Raw genomic sequence first — 21,344 nt, forward strand, 5'->3', positions numbered from 1 at the left:
AAAATCCTACCTACCATATATATTTGCGTGTGGTTTACAATAGACTAAATATATCAAATGCCTGGCACAGAGAAAATTCATGACAAATGTTTGTTTGCTTAGTCTGAATTGAATATGAAAATACAGTCAATCTCCTATAAAGGATTTTCTTTTATTATTATTATTATTATTATACTTTAAGTTCTAGGGTACATGTGCAGAACGTGCAGGTTTGTTACATATGTATACATGTGCCATGTTGGTGTGCTGTGAAGAGTCCTCAGTAATGTGGAGGGAAATGTATTGGAATATAGTTCAGGGGCTACTGATTGAATTTCATCTGGTCTCTACCAGTAATCTTTTGGATGATATGGGAGGATTCCTGTAACCTCACTGACTGTCATTGTCTGTAACTATAAAAGGAAGAGTTTAATTTGATTCTTTATTTATCAATGTTATTTTATATTCTTTGAGAATAGATGTTTTTCATCTAGTGAGCATTGAGTAACTGTTGAATTAGTTCAATAATAGTGTGATGCCCTCCTATGGGGAACTTGAGTGTATCATTGGGAACTTCTGTGAGAAATGTAGACGTCACATTCACTCTATTCATGCTATGTGGAATCTATAAAACATATTTGCTGTAGCCACCTCAGGCTTTGAATGGATTGTGTCGGTATAAAGATAGGCAACTGCTAACAAACATGTAAGGTTCTTTACCCCAGCATGTGGACTTGTTTTCCAAAAAGACCCTGAGGATGATAGAATCTCTCTCCCATAGGTGTCCAACAAGGAAAGTAATGTATTTTAGACTTTTCTTGGCCATTGACCTCTGGACTAACAATAGTTTCAGAAAATTTTTCAATTCACTGAGGAAATAATTCTCCAACAGCAAAATGTATTTTATTCTTTCCTTCCCTCTAACCTGCTCCAGTGTATCTTGTTTTCCTAGTCTTTCCTCTCTTACATGAGGATGGATAATTTTTCTCTAGAGCTCAGAGGATGAATGCTCTTGACCTAACCCTCATTGAAGAAAGGCATGGAAAGCCTGCCAGTTCAAATCCATTGCTCTAAAGGTTTTACTTTCTGTTACATATTATCATTGGGTGGTCCAAAGGGGTCAGAGATGGAGGTTGTTTCAGAACCTGAAGTCTTTACTAAAAAAGATGAAACCAGAAAGAAACCACACTGGGTACAAAGCAGTGAGGATCCAGCCTATTGTTTCCAAAAGCCTGCTACATTCAAGACACAGTGAACTTAACCCAGTTTTGTTTTGTTTTTTAGAAGAACAGCCATCTTGACTTCACAAAGAGTGTTGGTCAGAATATTTAACTACTGGTACAGCAGTGGTACTGACCAAAGAGAATAGATACTGCCCAATCAGAATGGACACCAGCTGTAAACAACCAGTGTATCCATATTGGTGCACACTGGCTTTTAACATTTGCCCTTGCAAAAACTACTGAAAATATTAAAAGGGAATCTCACATGTCAGAGTCCTCTGTTCTACCAAAATTCAACTTATTTTATGCTAACAAAATTATTTGAAACTAATCTAATCATAGTCTCTCTCCAGTTACTGCCTCTTCACCCTACTTCAACTAACAGCAAAGCTCCTCATTAGAGTTCTGTATTTATTTCCTCTACTTCTCACCTCCCATTTTCTCTTGAACCAACTCTAATCAGGCCTTTGTCCCCAATGTCGGCTTCCTCAGGAGCTCAAAGGTCTTATCAATATCAACAACCCCCATATTGCCAAATCTGATGGTTAATATTCAGTCTTTTTATTACTTAAACCTTCAGGGGCATTAGACACAAGTTGATCATGCCTTCCCTTGTGAAACACTTTTTTACCTGGCTTCTAGGACACCACTTTCTCTTGTTCTTCTTCTATTGCATGCCATTTCTTTTCAGTCTTCTTTATGGGATTCTCTTCCAGCTTATAAATGAGGGAGTGCCTCAGTCAGTCCCTGGCCTCTTTTCTTGGCTTTCTATGCTCCCTTTCTAAATGATTTTATCCGATTCTGTGGCCTTAGATCAATAGACTGGTGAGTCCACATCTGTATCTCCAGCCTTGTGCTCTCCCCAAAGATTCCCAACTGCCTACATAATATACCTCCACTTGGATATCTAATAAGCCCTGCCATATTAGCATATACTGAGCTCTCTGGATTTCTTACCCACTTCTCTATTTTCTGCAAGTGTATTGGTTCCCCAATGTCTCCCTTCTCAGCAAATGCTATTACCATTTACCAGTTGCTCCAGCCATTCAGAAATTCAGTTGGTGATGCCTTCAAAATACACCTTGATCCGACCACCTGGCCACCCTTATTTAAATGGCTGTCATTTCACACCTAAACTACTGCAACAGTCTCCTAATAGATTTTTACCCCTCCTACAGTCAGTTTATAACTGTCCACATCTCTCACGCTCCCGTGACCATTGTTACCTTGCTGTTTCTTCAATACAATCATCTCATTTCCTCCTCAGGGCCTTTGTACTTGCTCTTTCCTCTAGCTGATATGATCCTCCTCCAGAGCTTCTCAGGGCTTCCTCTTTCATATCAATCAGTACTCCACACAAAGGTCATCTTCAGAGAAGTTTTCTTTTTAATAATTAAAATAGAAGCCACACCCAACTCACTATTCTCCATCCCCCTTCTCTGCTTTATTTGCTTCAGAGCACTTATCACTATTTGACTTCACATTATCTTGCTATTTTCTGTTTGGTCTGTCTCCCCAAATAGAATATATCCTCCATAAGACATTCCAGAAAAAACATATAATCATAGAACTGAAACCATTGTGAAGAACTCTGGAGGTCATTCACCTCTACCCACCATCTAATATTTAGATCAACCTTGTACTCTCTCCATTATTTGTAAAGTGAATATTTTTATACTGAATCACATTTTCCCACTGATCTCCATCATCATTATTTTTTCATGGAGAAAAATGACCTCAATATTAAATAAAAATGTTACCAAGGACAATAATACCTACTTTTGACAGTATGCAATTAATTTTCCTATATAGCCCATAGGAGAAATTAGTCATTCAGACAATTGAATGTGACCATTCCTGGCAGCATGTGCGGAGCCAGAACAGATACTGGAGCAGTGACATTTTGTACCAAATATGCAAATATAATAAAGCACCAAATAAGTAGGAGCTATGTGCTATTGAACTGTAGCCAGAGCCTGAACAAGAACACAAATATGTTGTCTAATAACTTTGTTCCACTAGATTTCATTCATTCCTTATTGGAGGAACATGCATTTGAGTAAGAAATATGCCAATTTATATAGTTAACTTTCATTCTTCTTAAGAACTGCCCACTAGATCAAGTTGTTTGATAACTGATGAAGATGATCTAAGATGACTTATCATTGAGTGTGTTTCTTTAGACTTTGCACTAACTTTAGTTATCAGCAACTCTTCAGAGCTAGTTATTTGTACCCTCTTTCCCCTTTTATTGGTGTCTTTAAGATGTTAAGCACTCTTTCCTGTGTACTGGTTAACTATATTTGCCTAGTGAAGGAGTACTGATTTTCCATTATTCCTAGATGCCACATGATGCATTTCTATTCGTTGTAAACACTTATAAGACTGACTTATATTTTGTCCTTCATCACATCAGTCTGCCAGGGCAAGATGTCTTTAAATGAGGCCCAGTGCGTTTCATCAGACACATTTCTACCTTGACACTTAAAGGAATGATGTTTTCAAGGTGTCTAGGTGTAATGAAGTTTGTTTTAAAAACCCGCTGCTATCTTGCCAAAGCCTCAAGGCAAGGCCTCTGAAAAGTAACAGACTATATACTTACTTTTCAGGCCTCTTCTGGGCTTGACTTATTTGCTTTTTCTATAGGCACTAAACTATTACTTATATTTCATTTATATATGTTGACTTCAGAATTTTCCAGGAAAATTCATATTGGCCTTTGCAAGTAAGAAAAATGATTGATGAATAAAAGATATTAAACAATCCTATAAAATAGATCCTTAGGATAATTAAATTGCTTGAGCAACAACAATTTTGAGAGTTCATTGCTGTATTAGAATACACAAAAGCACATAAAAAAGTGAAGTTTTTAACAACATTTCAAATAAGGGTTTACAGTTTGACTTGGATCTGTTTTAGTGATGAATGAGGTATGCCATCTTTACTACTTGTTGAAAAAAGCCTACTTGAACCAGAAAGTCTAGATTTTTCTCCACAGATTTTAAATTCTTTAAATAGCATAAGTTCCTCCTGAGAGAAAACTCCAAAGAGTTATAGAATTAATTTGCCCTTGAAGGGAAAAACAACAGTGAATATTAAGAGAAAGTGAGAATACAACATAAGAGAAAAGGGGAGTTGTCAAAGGACATCTAGGAAGTAACCTCCTGCAATGTCTCTATTGTTCATCCTTCAAATTTATGGCAGGGCATCTCTTAACATTCAACCTTGCCTTAATGCTCCTCCTGCTGTCATCCGCTATGTGAAATGATCCCCCAACCTTTAAAATCACATGTTGGTTTACATTCTCTTTCCTTGTTCTCTCACTTGGTTAGACATGTCTCATGAACTTCTTTGTATTTACATGATGACTAAAAGGGTGACTTGGTTCAACCCAACAAACATTTTTAATCAACTCTCCAAACATTTACTGCCTCTTCTCACAATATTTACAATGACTTCCACTCTCTCTAATTGTCCACTCCTTTCCTCTGTGATCAATGACAAATGGCTCAATCTTTGTTTCACTCTCTGTATAATTCCAGTACACCTAGTTTATAGGGAAAAAAATAAGACAACCAATTTTTAATAATAATTAATGTAAGATGATGTATAACGTTTATTTACAAAAACAAGTATTTATTGTGTTGTTTCTGTTTACTTATATCCATCCTGTGTTTCCATTTATGTGAAACCACAGAGATTCTTTTTTTTTTTTTTTTTTTTTGAGACGGAGTCTCACTGTGTCGCCCAGGCTGGACAGGCTGGAATGCAGTAGTGCAATCTCGGCTGACTGCAACCTCCGCCTCCTGGGTTCAAGTGATTCTTCTACCTCCGCCTCCCCAGTAGCTGGGACTACAGGCATGAGCCACCATGCCTGGCTAATTTTTGTATTTTTAGTAGAGACGGATTTCTGTCACATTGGCCAGGGTGGTCTCGAACTCCTGAACTCAAGTGATCCGCCCGCCTTGGCCTCCCAAAGTGCTGGGATTACAGGTGGGGATTGTTATATATCTTTAACCTTCAGAGAGCTCCATTCATCAATTCAACAAATATTTGAGTTCTTACTATATACTGAGCATTATTTCAGCCATAGAAAATTCAGCAGTGAACAAAACAGAAAGAAATTCCTCTAAGCTCCCTGGAGCTTACATTAATAAACAAATAAATAAGCAAAATCTACTGTATGTCAAGGTTTCCAAGGATTTATTCGGCCAAGTGATACTAGGACAACTTTGCCAATTAGAAGAAGTACAGTGTTGCTGAAAGAAATCAGGCACTCAGGTTTCTTAATAAGAAACAAAAATATCACCCAAAGCCTGAGTACAATTCTTCAGGCCACCACTGCTCACTGTCATCTGAAATTCGGTTGCTAGGACACTGCTAAGCATAGCAAAGCTAAGGACACTTTACAAGCTGGGGAAGTTTTTGGTAGAATGATGTTATGATATTCATAGATCTAAATTCAGTTATGAAATACGGGGCATAGAGATTAACATAGAAAGAAATAAATATATCTGTAAAGTTGACTTTTGATATCATTCAAGCTTAATAATCTAATGCCTATAAAAAGAAGATATACAAATTATTACATTGAAAAACTGTTGGTATTTTATAGTAACATTTAAGAATTTATAGCTTTTCACTAAAATCTAATCTAATCTATCTCTTAATTTCCTCATAAATCAGGTGGCTAATTTTTAGCCTAGAAAATGCAACTTTTGTTCTGATACTATGGCTTTAGTTTCGCAGGGTAGGGTAATCAGTATCATTACATTTTTATCCTCTAACACTTCTCTAAATAGAAGTGAGGTCTCTTCATTTAATTTGGGAAATTGAATGCCAGTCAGGGAATTCAAAACAGTGTTGGTTTCAAGTTTGAGTTTCCCTGAATAGTACCAAATTATTTTCCTTGACCCTGAGGCATGGGTCTCAATGAGAAAACATAGGGAAATTATGAATCCAAGATATCCTGAGACGATCTTGCCTACATATTTAACAGTGAACTGAAATTTTGTGTCTATTGTGGCTCATGAATAATAGGGATCAGTAACTGATTTTCATTGCATAGGCAAAAGTAAACCATCCATATATGTAAAAAATAAGATTAGATATATGTCATGACACTGTCCTTTTATTTTTATATGGGAAATACACCCATATGAATAAAAATTAACTGTTTGTCATATATGAAGCAAGATGCAAAGTTGGGAGTCTGTTCACACTGTGAACATTACCTTGAACTGATGAGAATTGGAGTAGCGTAATACCTTGTGCCTAAGTAATTCTCACATCACTGAACCACAAATCTGATAGACCTCTGCAGTTATTGTAAGATTTAATAGCAGAGAACGATAAGAAAGCTTTGAATTACTAAACACTGATAACACTTCTTAAAGAACAAAATAAATGAATATTTCATAATATACAATCCCAGGATTAGCCTCTCTACCATGGGCTTTGTAGCTGAACACCTCTTGCCTCGTCATTCCCTTAATTCAACATTTTTATCTTGTGTTCAAAATATATATTTTACATTTATGTAGAAGGAAAGAAAGCCATGACTCTCATAACACTTCTATACAATCTGTATATAAAACTGGCTATACATCCATAGTTATGATGCCAGGAGAATCTCAGTGTTTGCTATGAATCACCCATTAGTCAAATCTCTCCACTCATCAGAGTCTGATTAGAAGCCAACTATCCCTGGGGCAGTTGTTTTTTGAAGAAAATGTTAAAGTTGGTCTTCTTGTTTACATCCGGATAGTATGAATCAAATGACATCCCTGTGATGAAAAAAAAAAAAACAAAAGAAAGAAAGAAAATAGTTTAAAGCCTCTCATGGAACTGGCTTTTGGTGATGACTGCCTTCAGTGATTCTCAATTAGAAAACATAGAGCAGGTAAAAATAATTCCAGTTCTTAATTAAAAGCAGGAAATGATGTCACTTTCCATAGTTAAAGGCAGCATGACCTAGCAGAAAGTATGTATTCTTTGGAGCCAGATAAAACCTCAGCTCTGCTGCATGGCACCTATGTCACTTTGGACAAGTGACAACTTTCCTGAGGCAGATGTTCACATCTGCAGGTGGACGTGTTAATTAGCTTGATTGTGGTTATCATTTTATAATGTATGCATATATCAAGACATCACATTGTGATCTTAAATATATGTAATTTTTATTTGTCAATTATACTTCAGTAAAAAATGGGCTAATAATAGCAACTAGGATGGTTTTGTATATAAGTATATACAGGAATATACAGCCTAGGATTATAATAGAACGTTGCAGGTGCTCCATAATTTATAACCCAAATGTCCACAGATTTCCTCTGCCATCAGTTACACATGTTGCTGACTCTCCCTCCCACCTGCATAGCAGCAGTGTCTCCCTCACACTTAAAGTCTTTCACACACAGTGTGACCCACATTGCACAAGAAACCAGTAAGCTCCTGTTCTTCTGTCTTCATGAAACTAATGGTTACATGTCTCTGAGGGAGGTGCCCTTCTCAACAGCCCTGTTCCAGGTGCCCTCTGGGAGGACTGTGCTCTGGCCCAAGTCCTGGGCAAAGGCCCCAGGGGGCCAGTGCTCTGCAATGGATAAGGGCAGAAAGGAGAACACGACTTTCTTCCTTTTTCTCCTGGACCTTGAAACAGCCAATGTGTGACCCTCCTGGAAACATACCTATCCACTTCCTTTGCTTCACTGTCAGGATAAACTTGACCTTGAAATTATGCCAGGAAATAAACCATTTTTGTTGGACATTCACCTGTCTTTCACCTCTGTCTCCAGTAATGTGCTAATGTTATCTCATCCTCCCAGGGAGCTTGTGAGGCTGACATATTTAACACCAATTTATAGATGAAGAGACTGGAACCTAGATAGATTCAGAATACCGTCCCAAATCTCTCTGCTTTCTACCTCCTTTAAATACCTGAGGTTTCACCAGCCTAGGATGTCCATTTCCTTTTTTTTTTTTTTTTTTTTTTTTTTTTGAGATGGAGTCTCGCTCTGTCACCCAGGCTGGAGTACAGTGGTGCGATCTCGGCTCACTACAACCTCCGTCTCCCGGGTTCAAGCAATTCTCCTGCCTCAGCCTCCAGAGTAGCTGGGATTTTAGGCACATGCCTCCACACCTGGCTAATTTTTGTATTTTTGGTAGAGATGGGGTTTCACCATGTTAGCCAGGCTGGTCTCAAACTCCTGATCTCAGGTAATCTGCCCACCTCTGTCTCCCAAAGTGCTGGGATTACCAGGGTGAGCCAACACGCCTGGCCAGGATGTCCATTTTCTATTAAATGAGCACCACATGTTCTGCAAAACATTAGCAATTATCATTATTACTTTTCTGCTCCAAGTCAAATTAGGCCAGAGTTTACACTCACTCGAGAATGATGAGTCTGAAGAGGTATCTAGAGTAGGAATTGAAATGTAAAAATCAGAGTAGTAGAGAGAGAGAATGGAGGCAAGGCTTTAAGAGATTAAGTAAAAGAGGTTTGGAAAAACAAAATCTTGATTATAAAAAGTAAAATAGAAAGGATGGATATGAAAGACTTTATGAATGAGTCATCATCTATTTTATTTATCTTCTTTTAAAAAATTCTTACATGGCACCACCTGCTTCTGTCACACTTCACACCCCCAGGCCCAAACTACCTTCTCTGAGCCCTTTCTTTAAAAAAATACAAAAAAGTAAAGTAATCTTCCAGATAAAAACTAAGACTTGTTCTTCCCCCTCTTTCCTTTACCCTTCATTTCCGTAACTTATCTTTCTCTGTGAAAGTACAGGTGGGAAATAATCAAGGAACTATTTGTGTGTGTGTGTGTGTGTGTGTGTGTGTGTGTGTGTGTATGTGTGTGTATGAGATTTTTATCATAGTCTACAAGAAATCTCTAGAGATTGCTTTCAAACTAAAACCAATTTCATACCCAATAGAAAACTTTAGTTTCATTGAAGGAAAAGCTAAATGGGAGCATTCAAAAGTGTCGTTCTAAAAAGAAGCCGGTTCTGAATACACTTGCCCAATTACTACCAAGAAATCTTCTCCTCCTTAAACCCAGAAATAAAAAGAGAAGTGCGCTATTGATAATGCTTCGTGTCATTTATGCAGGGCAAGTGAAAGGTATTCTGGTTATCAGTCATTTTCTTTGTCAAGCATAATTTTTCATGAGTTATATTTTAGCAAAATACTAAATTCAATGTCTATTATTATTATCATTATTATTATTATTATTGCAAACGTCTTCCAAGCAACATAGAAAGAACAAAGGTGGCATTAGTGGAAAATAAAAGGCAAATGCACGTTAACCTCAGCAATAGTTCACATGTGTTATCACCGATGCATCTTCTGCATCTTCTACCTCCTTTAATGCATCTTAAGTCATAATATTTTAGATCAAAATGTGCCAAATTAATTCAGCTCTAGTGCGTTGGGTTTTATGAACCTCCCAAATTACCTGTCTATTTGCTGCTGATGTCTGAAAGACAAGTGGAGGTGAGACCAACAAGAGATTTACATGTACCCTGATAGAAAGGGATAATGTTGCATCGTTCTGTTTTACTTCTTGTATATTTATTTCTTTTTAGCAGCTTGAAATGATCCATAGATCCGGAAACTGGTAGACATTGCAGGCTTTCCTCGTTATTGCCACTCACATATTGTCTTCTTCAAGGCCCATTCTCTCTTAACCAGAGCTCCCAACAGAGAGGACAGTGGAATAGACATGGAAACCTCTAAAAAGTTTAGGCACTATATTACTAGCACATCCCTCTCAGCTGCATATATAAAAATCTCAAATAGACTTAATTTCTTTATATTGATGTAATAGATCAAAATCTCAAATTAATATTTTGTTTCTGACTTTTTCATATTCAAATTCTTTAAAGAATATTAACTAAATATAGGACTGATTATTTGGTGATTATTTAGGTGTTACAAGTGAAAATGTGTATACTAATGTCTATGGATCTATCTCAAATGTTTCTTCAAGTTTTGTGTATTCTTTCTTCACATGCTAGTTTTGAACTTTACTTTGGTGCCTCTATCTGAAAACCAAGAGGAGGTGAGACACCTAAAAATATCCTCATTTGCATCTGTTTCCCTTCCTTCAGAGAAGGAGGGTTGGCCCACCCAGTTTTGCCTTGACAACCAGGAAATATCTAATGACATGGAATTAATTCACTGTTGATCCCTCATGCTACCATGTCAGGTCTTCCATTATTTGGCTCAAACTGATGCTGAATTGCAAGAGAGCAGGACAGGAGCCTGTCATTTTTACATTCCGGATGGTTGCCAGTAGACATGATTAATAAAAGTCACTTGATACAAATCAAAGAACTTGGTTAAGTGAATCAGATCCTCTTTACTTTGTCTTCTTACAGAAAACATGCTATAAGGTTCATACTTTTTAAAAGTCATGAAACAAAATATAACAAATTTACCCCATATTTATTAAATAGGGATCACTTCCTTCCTAAAAACATTTAAGTGCAGTTCTCCAGAATGAAAGAGATAAACATGTGTAGATGCAAATCAATTCTGTATTGGTTTCTTATTACCACATTAAAAAGAAAATCTGAAGATATAAGTTATGACTTAATTTTGATTTTGAATGCATACTGCTACCTAATGTACATAAAATAACCATCACAGAATGAAACTGATATATCCAACAGCTGGCTGCATTTAAATGATTTTAAAATAAGTGCTTATAAAAAGTCAATTTTTGGTGTTTTGCTGCTTAGGAATGAAACGAATCACAAATGTTTTTATTTGATTTTCTCTGACAGGACTGGGAATTCCCACATTTCATGGGAGATGTTGATGTAAATCTCCCTGGTTTGCACACCCCTCACATGCAGTTCAAGATTCCTTTCTTCCAGAAAATCTTCAAGGAGGAATATCGTATTCACATAACAGGTGTGTTATATCTTTGAACACAATTTGATTATCTTCGTACATTAGTTAGGGTAATGCTAGTTGCTGTAAAAAGCAAGCCATAATATTTGAGAGGCATAAATACAATGTTATTTCTCATTCACTTAACAGTGCAAGGTGGTTTTCAGATCAACAAGGGGCTCTGTACTATCATTCTGGGACCTAAGTTACTGGTGGCTTTGACAATTTCAGTGTTAGCATCCAGCAGGCAGATGGAAATACAGAGAATGGGGAAAGTGATTAAGAAGGCTTGTCTGTTCCGTAATCTCTTGGGCTTGGAAAAGAAATATGTCACCTTTCCTCATGTTCCATTGATGATAACTGGTACATAGCCCTACTTAGAGTCAGGGAGAGCAAGGAAATGTAGTCCTTAGCTGAGCAGCCACTTCTGGTGTCAGATCTGGTATTCTAGTATAGGATTATCAAAGAGGGAAGACAAATCTTTGCTGTGGAGAGTCATTTCTGCCATACTCCATATGCCACTCTACCTTGATCTTGTTCATTGGATGGGTTTTTCACCACATAGAACTCAGTATCTATTTTCAATGTTATATTCTTTATGCTCTTGTTCTTCATTTGTTGCTGAAATTAAAACAATGGTATCCTAGAGCCCCAATCAGAACATATGTCTTTAGGGAGTTAGGCCACTTCTCATTTGATTTTCTGAAAACCTACTTCTGTGGCAAAGCTCAGGTTTGTCTTAAGTGATTCTCTTGTGGATCTTCAGATTATTTTATTTTCAGATATTTTCTGCTTTTGAAATGGCTAAAATATGATTTATTGTAATATCCTTTCATGACATATCAGTCATTCTCATCTAAAAAGGGCTTCCCGGAGCTACGTTTTATATCTGTCTTTCTTTATGACAAGAAGCAGACAGCTGAATGATCACAGATAAAGGATGGCATTAGTTCCAAAGCTGTTCAAATGCAGGTAATGAGTGTGTGTCTGTTTTAAGGACAATGGCCTAGGATCCCACACCTGCTATAATAAAATCTGCTGAAGAAATCTGTGCTTACACTACCGTCTGTGCTGCCAAATAAAAATAGTCTGAGCCCAGAAAACATTAACATCTGAGTACTGCAATAAACCTTTGCTTCCCAGCTAGGAGGCTGTTTTTTGCTTTAAGCATGAGGCGACCTTCCTAAATTGGAGAATGAGCTCATGAATAGGGAAGATGCAGCAGGTTTCTTTTCCTATTCAAAATGAATGAGGCCCATCTATTAAATTCACTGGGTAAATCAATCAATTTGAGTTCAGGTCACATAGTCTGGTTTCAGAGTCCCCACTTAATCTCTGCAGCATGCTACCCTCTTGGACTTCTAAAACAGCTATCACACACATGGCATCATCATATCCCTTTGGGGGGGGCTTTTGCGTAGACCATCTGTTCTTGCTACCAGCTCTTGTCCCAGGCCATCATTACACTAATATTGTCTCTGACTATAAGAATGCCTTGTCAAAAATATCCTGCTTAAGTACAGAACTTCAGGTTAAAAAAGGAAAAAAAAATGGAGAGCCCATTGGTAAGAAAAAAAATGAGCTGCTAAAAATATTTAATTTAGGATTATTTTGTATAACTTTATCATTTACATTGTCATTTATAGATGGTACAGATTTCAGATTTGTGGTGTCCAGAGTTTACACAATGTGGAATACTCTGTTTAAGAAGATGAATATAAAATTACATCTCAAAATTATATTCAGTGCCTCGGAAGGGGGCTATGCATGCAGAGTCCCTAAAGCTTCAGTGTTATTAACTTTGAGGTAAAGCCTACTGTGCATTTAGATAGAAGCAGATACATGACTTCCATTTGAACTAAAACCCTCTTCCCACCAAGAATTATTTTCTGAAAACCTAAAAGGATGAAAGACTAGTTCAACTTTTATAGCAGAGACTACATATTAATCTGGTTTGCCCGAAGGTGGTAATGTATTGTAATTAAGGCTTTGGTGCAGTGTTTGCCATATGATGCTGATGGCCAAGTCATCAGGGAACTTTATAAATACACAGATTGTTGGGTTTCATTACTAATGTTTTGATCCAGTAGGTCTGGGTGAGGGCCAGAGAATCGAACTTTGGGAAAGCTCCCCCAAGTGATGTTGATAATTGGGGATGTCTCCTTTCTGATTGAGAGATGACAGATGAGATCAGAGCATCTCCCTGAAATGTGCCATGCAAACAATTGGGTGTCTGGACTTGCCAAAAAGGCTTTTGAGGATTCTGGAGCTTAAATTCAAAATATTAATAAAATAAGGGGCTGAACGTGGTGGCTCACACCTATAGTCCTGGCACTTTGGGAGGCCAAGGCAGGAGGGTCACTTGAACTCAGGGGTTTGAGACACCCTGGGCAACATAGGGAAACTCATCTCTAAAAAAAAATAGAAAGAAAGGAAGAAAGAGGAGGGAGGGAAGAAAGGAAGGAGGGAGGGAAGGAAGGAAGAAAGGAAGGAAGGAAGGAAGGAAGTTTGGCATGATGGCACACACCTGTGGTCCTAGCCACTTGGGAGGCTGAGGTGGGAGGATTTCTTGAGCCCAGGAGGTCAAGGCTGCAGTGAGCCATGATGGCACCACTGCACTCCAGCCTGGGCAACAGAGCCAGATCCTGTCTCAAAAAATAAGCTAAAATAGGGTAGGTGAGGACTTTGGAGTGAAGGGTTCCACCATAAACAAATTAAATCCAATTTGTGATAAACCCAGTTTGTTCACATGCATCCACATAGCCATGATAAAAATAACTGGGAAAATGGCACAGGTTTGGAGGTTGAAGCAGTCTGAGCTTTTCTCTCTTGCTTTTGTTCTGTTTCTTTTACTCTCTCTGTTTTGTTAATTGGCTGAAGAGATTGCTGAGGCCACCCCAGAGTAGCATCTAGTCTTCTGTGAAGGGCTTTTTACTTTACCTGACTACATTTGTAAGACAATTGTTTCTGTGGAAAACTAGGTAAAATTTCCAAAATACTGTGCTACATGCTGCATTTCAATATTCTCAATAGTTAGCAGCCTACAAATTTCCATGTGAACTACAAATTCTAGCTTGCTGATCAGCTCCTCCGAGCCCTGGTACTTTTTTTATGGAGACTTCAGTGCTTTTCTTGATAACTAAATACAGTGTCACCACTGGGGTTATTAAGCATAAAACCCTCTAGATCCGTCAGGGGATGACAAACGTTAATGTGTATTGGAATCACCTGGAGAACTTATTTAAAAGACAGCTGCATTAGCCACACCTCCAGAATCTGATGCCTGAGGTATGCAGCAGACTTGGAATCCACCCTTCTGTCAAGCATGGCAAGTGATACGTCTGCTGGCTGGCAGAGGACTGCTCTTTGAGACATGCTGCTGCTGAGAGACATTTTCTATAGTTAGAATTCCTCTTATCTCAGCTTTAATTTGTTTTCATATGCAACTGTTAAAATCAAAAGCCAAGGGGTAGAATGCAAATTCAATAGCAGTGGGATGACCAGGGAGAAAGGCACATGGTAGAATCCTCCTAGGAGCTGAAATTTTAGAGCTGGGGCCAGCAGAGGAGACTATGATTGGGGAAAGGTGCTGGTCTGAGTGACCACAGAGGAAGCTGGAGCCAGGGATGGGAAGGGAACCTGTAGAACCCCAGACGGCTCCCTCTTTTGCTTTATCTGCTTTGTTTGTTCTGCACTAGAAGAGCCTGGACAAGGACTGTGAAAGGTCTCCTGAGTCAAAAGTTGACTCCACTTGGCCCCAATCTACCATGTCCCTATGATTTAGAAAAGACATCCAGCATACACTGAAGCAATGGAGCAAAGAGGTTGGATACATGGGCTCTAGCTTTGCTACTTACTGGTGGTCTGGTCCTCATCGAGTTCCTTAGCCCTTCAGAGACTCAGTTTCTCGTCTATTTAATGGGCACAGTAATAATACTTATCCCATAGGGTTGTTGTGAGAATTAAATTAATATATGTAAGGCACTTATGACGCTGCCTGCCATGTAGTAAGCATTCAGTAAGCTTTCACTGTTTTTTTACTTAAAGCTTTTCCTTTCATCTGGCCAGAGATTGTCTTTCCTATTTAATTCAGAAATGTTGGGTAGCTTGAGAGGGTGCCCTCTTGCCACTTACCCACTATTCTGAGTTTTCTACTGTTATCTGCTGTCCTGAGTCCTTAAAAAGGAGAAAGCTAAGAATGCAAAATTCTCTCTCCCAATGAAATATTCTGTATGTAGAGGGTTATGACACTGATGAGTTCCCACTGACATTTTAAAAGCATATAGGATTTGAGTATTTTTTTAATCCTGATTCCAAGCTAGTTTTATTTATGCATGTCAGAAATAACTTGAATTGTTGCATCTGTTTAGCTCATCTGGATCCCCCTTGACAGATGGCTTGCTGCAGTATGTATGAGCTTTCATTTTATAAGCTGGGCTACAGCTTATAAAAATAAATCATTTCTATCCAAGAGTGTTTTAAAATATATTTTTTCTTAGAATATGGGCTTCAGTAACAAAGGGAATAAATGGTTAGTGATTAAGTCACACTGGTACTTTTAGCCCAAGTTCATTGTTCTCCTCCTAAAAGTAAACCCTAAAAGCAACTGTATAATGATCTTCTCTGCCCTCTTCCCCTTTACCTGTAAGGTAAGTGCATAGATGGATTGAAAATGCGATGTACTAAATCTCTGGAGGTGAGAGAGGAATGGCCTCTCAATTCAGTCTCGGAAGCTCCTCTGAGTCCTATTAATGCCAATCCCGGTGGAAGCTCTGCCATCTGTCATCGCAGCCAAAGGAAGTGTCCCATTGGTGGCCATCATCTGAGTAAATTAGGAGGGGGTTGGGCAAAAGGCCAGAAGGAAGGCCTGTGCAGCCTTGAGAAAAGAATTCACACTGTTGGCACGATGATGCCCACGGGAACCCTTTTGGCAAAAATGGAACATGTAGAAGTAAACAAGCCTGTATAGTGTCTGTTCTATTTCAGTTTCCTGTGTTGTGTGAGGGTACAGGTGTTTTACAATGGTGAGAATGTGGAAAATAATGAGTAAAAATGAAGGATTTTATTTTCATAGGTGCATGATTTCTAGCAAATGAGTTCCCAGAGACTGTTTTTTTTTAAAGAGCTCTCCTGTATGAATCAGGCCATGAGAAGGCTGGGGAGGGGACAGCCAGTGGTTCCTCCAGCAGAATGTTCTGTCTGGCAAAATTAGCAAGGGACTCGTTATAAGGAAATGTGTTGCATCCTGTATACAAAGAAAGTCCCCGAAGATCATGAATTTATCCAAAGTACACAAAGACCTCTTGCTCCTCTCTCAGTTGTGAATTTTTCCAAACCTTTCCTCAAGCAATTTTCATTTTCAGCTCTTAAGAGTTAACTATGTTTACTTCTATATAAAGCAGCAATTCCTTTTATTTGTCCAAAACTCATCTTCTTCAGGGCCATCATTTTGCCCATGGCCTGTCAGTTCTTGCTGGCCCTGAGTTTCTGCCCTGCCCACCCTGAGGTATCCTGTCTTCATTTGTACATACATGAGCACCTTTGTAATAAAACTTACATGCCCTTTAGGAATTGACTTCAGAGCCAGAGGAAGGACTCGAAATATATAATTATTCATAATCCTTGAAACATGAACATTTTGCTTTTCACAGTTTTTCAGATTATGTCCAATTTTAGCTATGTCGTGGAATTCATCAGATAATTATGATACATGCATTTTATTTGAAATGCTAAAACTTCTCTTTTCGTATTTTTCTGGGCACATTGTCTCAGAGTTTACAAGTTGGTTAACAGATATTTTTCTGAGTTAATATGTGTCAAAAACTAGTTGGTATCTGGAGAACACAGAAATGAACACGACACAGTTCCCAATCTCAAGAAAGTCATAGTTTAATGGTCATCTAATTCAGTATAACCACTTTTCTTCTTTCTATGCTTATGATCACATGTTCCTACCTGTACTCGTCACATTGGATTGCTTCCTAAGAAATAGTCTCCCACTTAGGAAGTAACAATGACAAGAGAGGCACTTTGAGAAGTTGTATCAGTTTGTTTTTAAGTCTTAAGAAGGTACTTTGATAACTCAAATAATTATGACTACTTCATAAATTAATAAGTAAATATTTTCAGTTTACGAAATGGCCTCCTCATGACCCAAGCACTTAATGTGGTTTCTAGATATCCCTAAATTGCCTAGGGAGAGACATGAAGAGATGCTAACTCGTGAGCCCTGTTTTTACTGCTCACATCTGGAATGAGGGGAGATTAGGATGGATGGCCAAGAAGACTGATACAGCAAATTGCATATTTCTTTTACTTATCCAAAATTCATCTTCTTCAAGGCCATGGTTTTGTGCTGTCCCATGATGGTTGCTGAATGACTTTGGGGAGCGTAACCACATCCATACACCTGCACTAGATGTCAAAGTCTGGCCAAGTAATCGCACCCATGTGGTAGAGAGGGGCCCACAGCACAGCTCATCCACAGTGCTAACTGGCACCTCTGCAGAGTAAAAGATTAAAAATATTATATTTGCATATTTCAGTCATGAAAAGTTCATTATATGGTGGAATTATCAGTACCTTATAGTCTTTTTCCTTAGTTGAAAAAAATAACACTTTCCCTCAAATTGTTGTCATTTGCTATTTGAGGGTGATATTTAATGAAGAATCCTTTTAAAATGATCTATCCTCAGATTCTGTAAACTCCCACAAAGTAAAAAGATAAAATTTTCATTATAATATCATCTCTGACAACCAGTAGGATTCATTAAAAGCCCAAAAACCAAAAAAGAGGTAATCCCACCAACACCACGCAGTGATTTCTCATTAGAGGAGATAGTGAAGTATTTCAACAAGGAGATTAATAGAAAGAATGTATGGATTCTTACCCTACCTCCTTGCTGATTTACATTGTGCTAGGTAGTTGAAACAACAGGGGAAAATGCAAAAGCTCTCATATGATTAATGCTGAAATACCAACCCTCTGGTTACTGTCGATTGTATATTCACAACAACACACTTGGGAAAATGGCTATAGAAGCACTTTCTATTCTGTTCTTTTTTGTCTTAAATCCTTTCTATCTGGGTCATTTCAGGGACTCAAATTTATTTTTTATGGTAAACACTGTTTCTCAGAAGATACAATTTTTTTTCAGAAAACCTTTCTCCTTCTAAAATTGTATATTCCATCTTCTTTGCTCTAATGTTGAGATTTTCTGGCCCAGCATAAAACACTAAGATTTAGGCAATGTTTATTTCACAGACTCATCAAAGAAACTTTTAGGGCTGGGAAGAAATCTTAAGGATTATCTAGCTCAACTCCCTCACTTTATAGACAAGAACACAGGGGTTGGGTTGCCCTGCCTGACTTCACCTTCTGCTTTGCCACATCTGATAGGGCAAAAGGAATTTTTTAAGGAGGAGAAAGCATTACCAAGGTAACGACACAGTGTGTGGGAAAAATGGAAAGATGGATGACAGAGAAAGATGAACATCCTTCCTCTGTAAACAGATAAATGAACTAGAGGTCATGTCAGATGGGCAGAAACAAACAAACAAAAATAATAAAAAGGGCCATTTTTTCTACCATTTTAGCAGCTTCAAGTTTCAGCTGAGTGAGAGAAGGACACTGCTGCATGCGCAGGAGGGAGAAGAAGGGAAATGTGATATGAATAGGCAGCCTGGCTCACTGCATCCCTTCCCCTCTGCACTTCCCCACCCCCACATGGCCTCTCTTCTGTGGGGGAGAGGTAGGGACACGATCCCCTGTTTTTTAGTCTCAAAATTCATAGATATAAAAGGTCTTTCCTCAGGGCCAATACTACTGCAAGCAGTAGACAAACTACTAATTGCTAAGGATTTTTAACATGTTAAATATGCTGATTTAGAAAGCATATTTACATAGAGCCACACACTGAGTCCTCTTGGATAACTGGTCCCATGTCATCTTCCTATTATTGTTGGTATTTAGTAATGCATACTGTTTTATTCCAACAGAAAAATTAGATAATGTAATCACTTTTAGGATATATCTTTGTTACAATCCTTATGTGTCCTTCTCTCCCTCTATTCCGTCACCAAGATCCTATATTGTCTGGATTGAAGAAGTAGAGAAATAAATTGGAGAAATAATACCACCCTACATTTTTGGCAAACAATATATTTCAGAGAATGTTCTAACACAACATCTCATTTTATCCTCACAAATAATCCTTTGAGGTAGTTACACTGGTATTATTCTCCATTTCACAGAATAAAAAATTGGATTCTATACACGACCAATAAGTAGACAGATTTGGGGTAGAAGGGCAGAATTATGGAACTGGAAGGCATCTAGTTCAGTTTTCTCAATTTGAAAATAGAATAACCGTGGTCTAGAGAGGTTAAACAGGTTACCCAAGGTCATATGCTTTAAGTTCAGTGTTGGGATGAGATGCCCATCTGCTCATTTCCAGCCTGCAGCTTTGTTGCCATGGTGCTCCCTTTTACAAACCAGTAAAGATGTGTTGGAGTAGGTGATGATATCCGTTAACTGATGTTAGGCCATACAGTTTTAATTTGCTCCTTCTCCACCCCATCTAAATGTTCAGACATCAGGACACATGAGAAATAATAAAAAGTGATCCTTGGGTGTGCAAGTTTAGTGGTCAAACTGACCCAGCACTATTCACTTGGTAGAAAAATAATTAAATAGTGCTGGAAAAGTTCTTTGGGAGAAAGAAACCTTTGGGAGTCAAGAAAGTAGTGGGAGCCAGGTATGGTGACTTGAGCTTGTAGTTCTAGCTACTTGGGAGGCTGAGGCAGGAGGATTGTTTTGTCTAGGAGTTCAAGGCTGCAGTGAGCTATAATTGCACCACTGTGCTCCAGCCTTGCAACAGAGTGAGACACTGTCTCAAAAGGAAAATAAAAATTTTATAAGGAGACGGTGATCAGTCATACAAGCACAAGGACCTCTTCCCCCACCATCTGGTCTGGCTTTGTAACATGTACAGTTTACAGCAAGAGAATAAATATAAAGCTCCGACAACAGAGGAGAACCCAAAGCCCCTCCTTCAACTTGCTTTCTGTCATGGAATCTACAGATTAGTGTCTCCTTAATACTGGATAAGAATCTCTGAACTTTTTCATTTCTCCTGTTTCTCATCCCTTTCCTGCCTTTTTCTACAATAATCTCCATTCTTTTCCTTTTCTCTCCCCTCAGCCTCTTTCTTCCATGTTATCTCATCTTTTATATATGCTGTTCTATCTACAACATACTGAAAGCATAAACGAAAATAAACACAAAATTTTCCAAACTATTTTCTGTCCTGCTTGTTCTTCAAGGACCACATGAATTGTTCCGTCCTCAAAATCTTTCCTGCAGAAAGTATCCTTCAGTTTTTTTCCATTTCCTCAATATTTACAGCATTTATGGTTTGTATCACTCATTTGGCACCTCCAGATGTAGCCTCTCACTATTTATCTGTTGATCTCTGTCCTGTTCCCCTAACAAGATGATGAAATCCTTTCTGAAAGGCAGAGACATATGTTTTCAGCATCTACCAGTGTGTTCTACACGGAGTCTGTTATGGTTGATCTTTAATATGAACCTGGTTTAGTTTTGAAGATCTCATGAGTGGTTTGAACTTAACAGCACCAGACGCTATAGATATTTTATCATATCTGAGACAACATTCCCAATGTTCAAAATTACTTTCCAGTTGGGTATGCCCAAAAAAATCATTCAGGCAAGAGTTTTCATTTCAAATATTATAAACTCTATATAGCTGAACAATGTCAGGACAAGCAGTTACTATTCCCCTTCATATAGTTTAGGTAAGCTCTCTTCATAGAGGAGCAAGTTGCACCTTCTCATGCAAATAAAAAAATTATCATGGTTTAGGCAAGGCTTTCGTGATGATAATTATAGCAATTACTGGGCCCCTATTATGTACCAGGCACTGTCCTTAGCATCTAGTAATCGCATGAAATTCTGACAACTTTAATAAATACTATTATTTTCTGCATGTAAAGAAACTGGGCTTTGGAGTGTTTAACAACTGGCTCAAGATCACACAGCTAGTAATTTTGGAGCCAGGATTAAAAGTATTTAGCCTTACATATAATAGGAGCTTTAATAAAATATGTAATTATGATGATAAAATATTTTCCTAAACTCCTCGCAGTTATGTCTTTTATATTTTTATGTAGCTAGATATTTTGTTAGACTGTATATTGCCAAATACATAATCATATGAAGC

The 21,344-nt window shown here is 38.0% G+C and overlaps 1 protein-coding gene across 10 annotated transcripts in view; it reads left to right on the forward strand.

Annotated features, from left to right (window-relative positions):
• Positions 1 to 21,344, forward strand: part of TMEM117 (transmembrane protein 117) — a 603,307-nt gene that overhangs the window by 569,799 nt on the left and 12,164 nt on the right. For 9 of the 10 annotated variants that reach the window (XM_047429662.1, XM_047429665.1, NM_032256.3 and 6 more), the window contains one exon: positions 10,995 to 11,124. The exons of the other annotated variant lie outside the window; for it this stretch is intronic. In XM_047429662.1, coding sequence (XP_047285618.1) covers positions 10,995 to 11,124 — 130 coding nt within the window. The remainder of the gene's footprint in view (positions 1 to 10,994; positions 11,125 to 21,344) is intronic. 10 annotated transcript variants of the gene reach the window in all.

This window comes from Homo sapiens, chromosome 12, assembly GCF_000001405.40.
Source record: "Homo sapiens chromosome 12, GRCh38.p14 Primary Assembly".
Taxonomy (NCBI): Eukaryota; Metazoa; Chordata; class Mammalia; order Primates; family Hominidae; genus Homo; species Homo sapiens.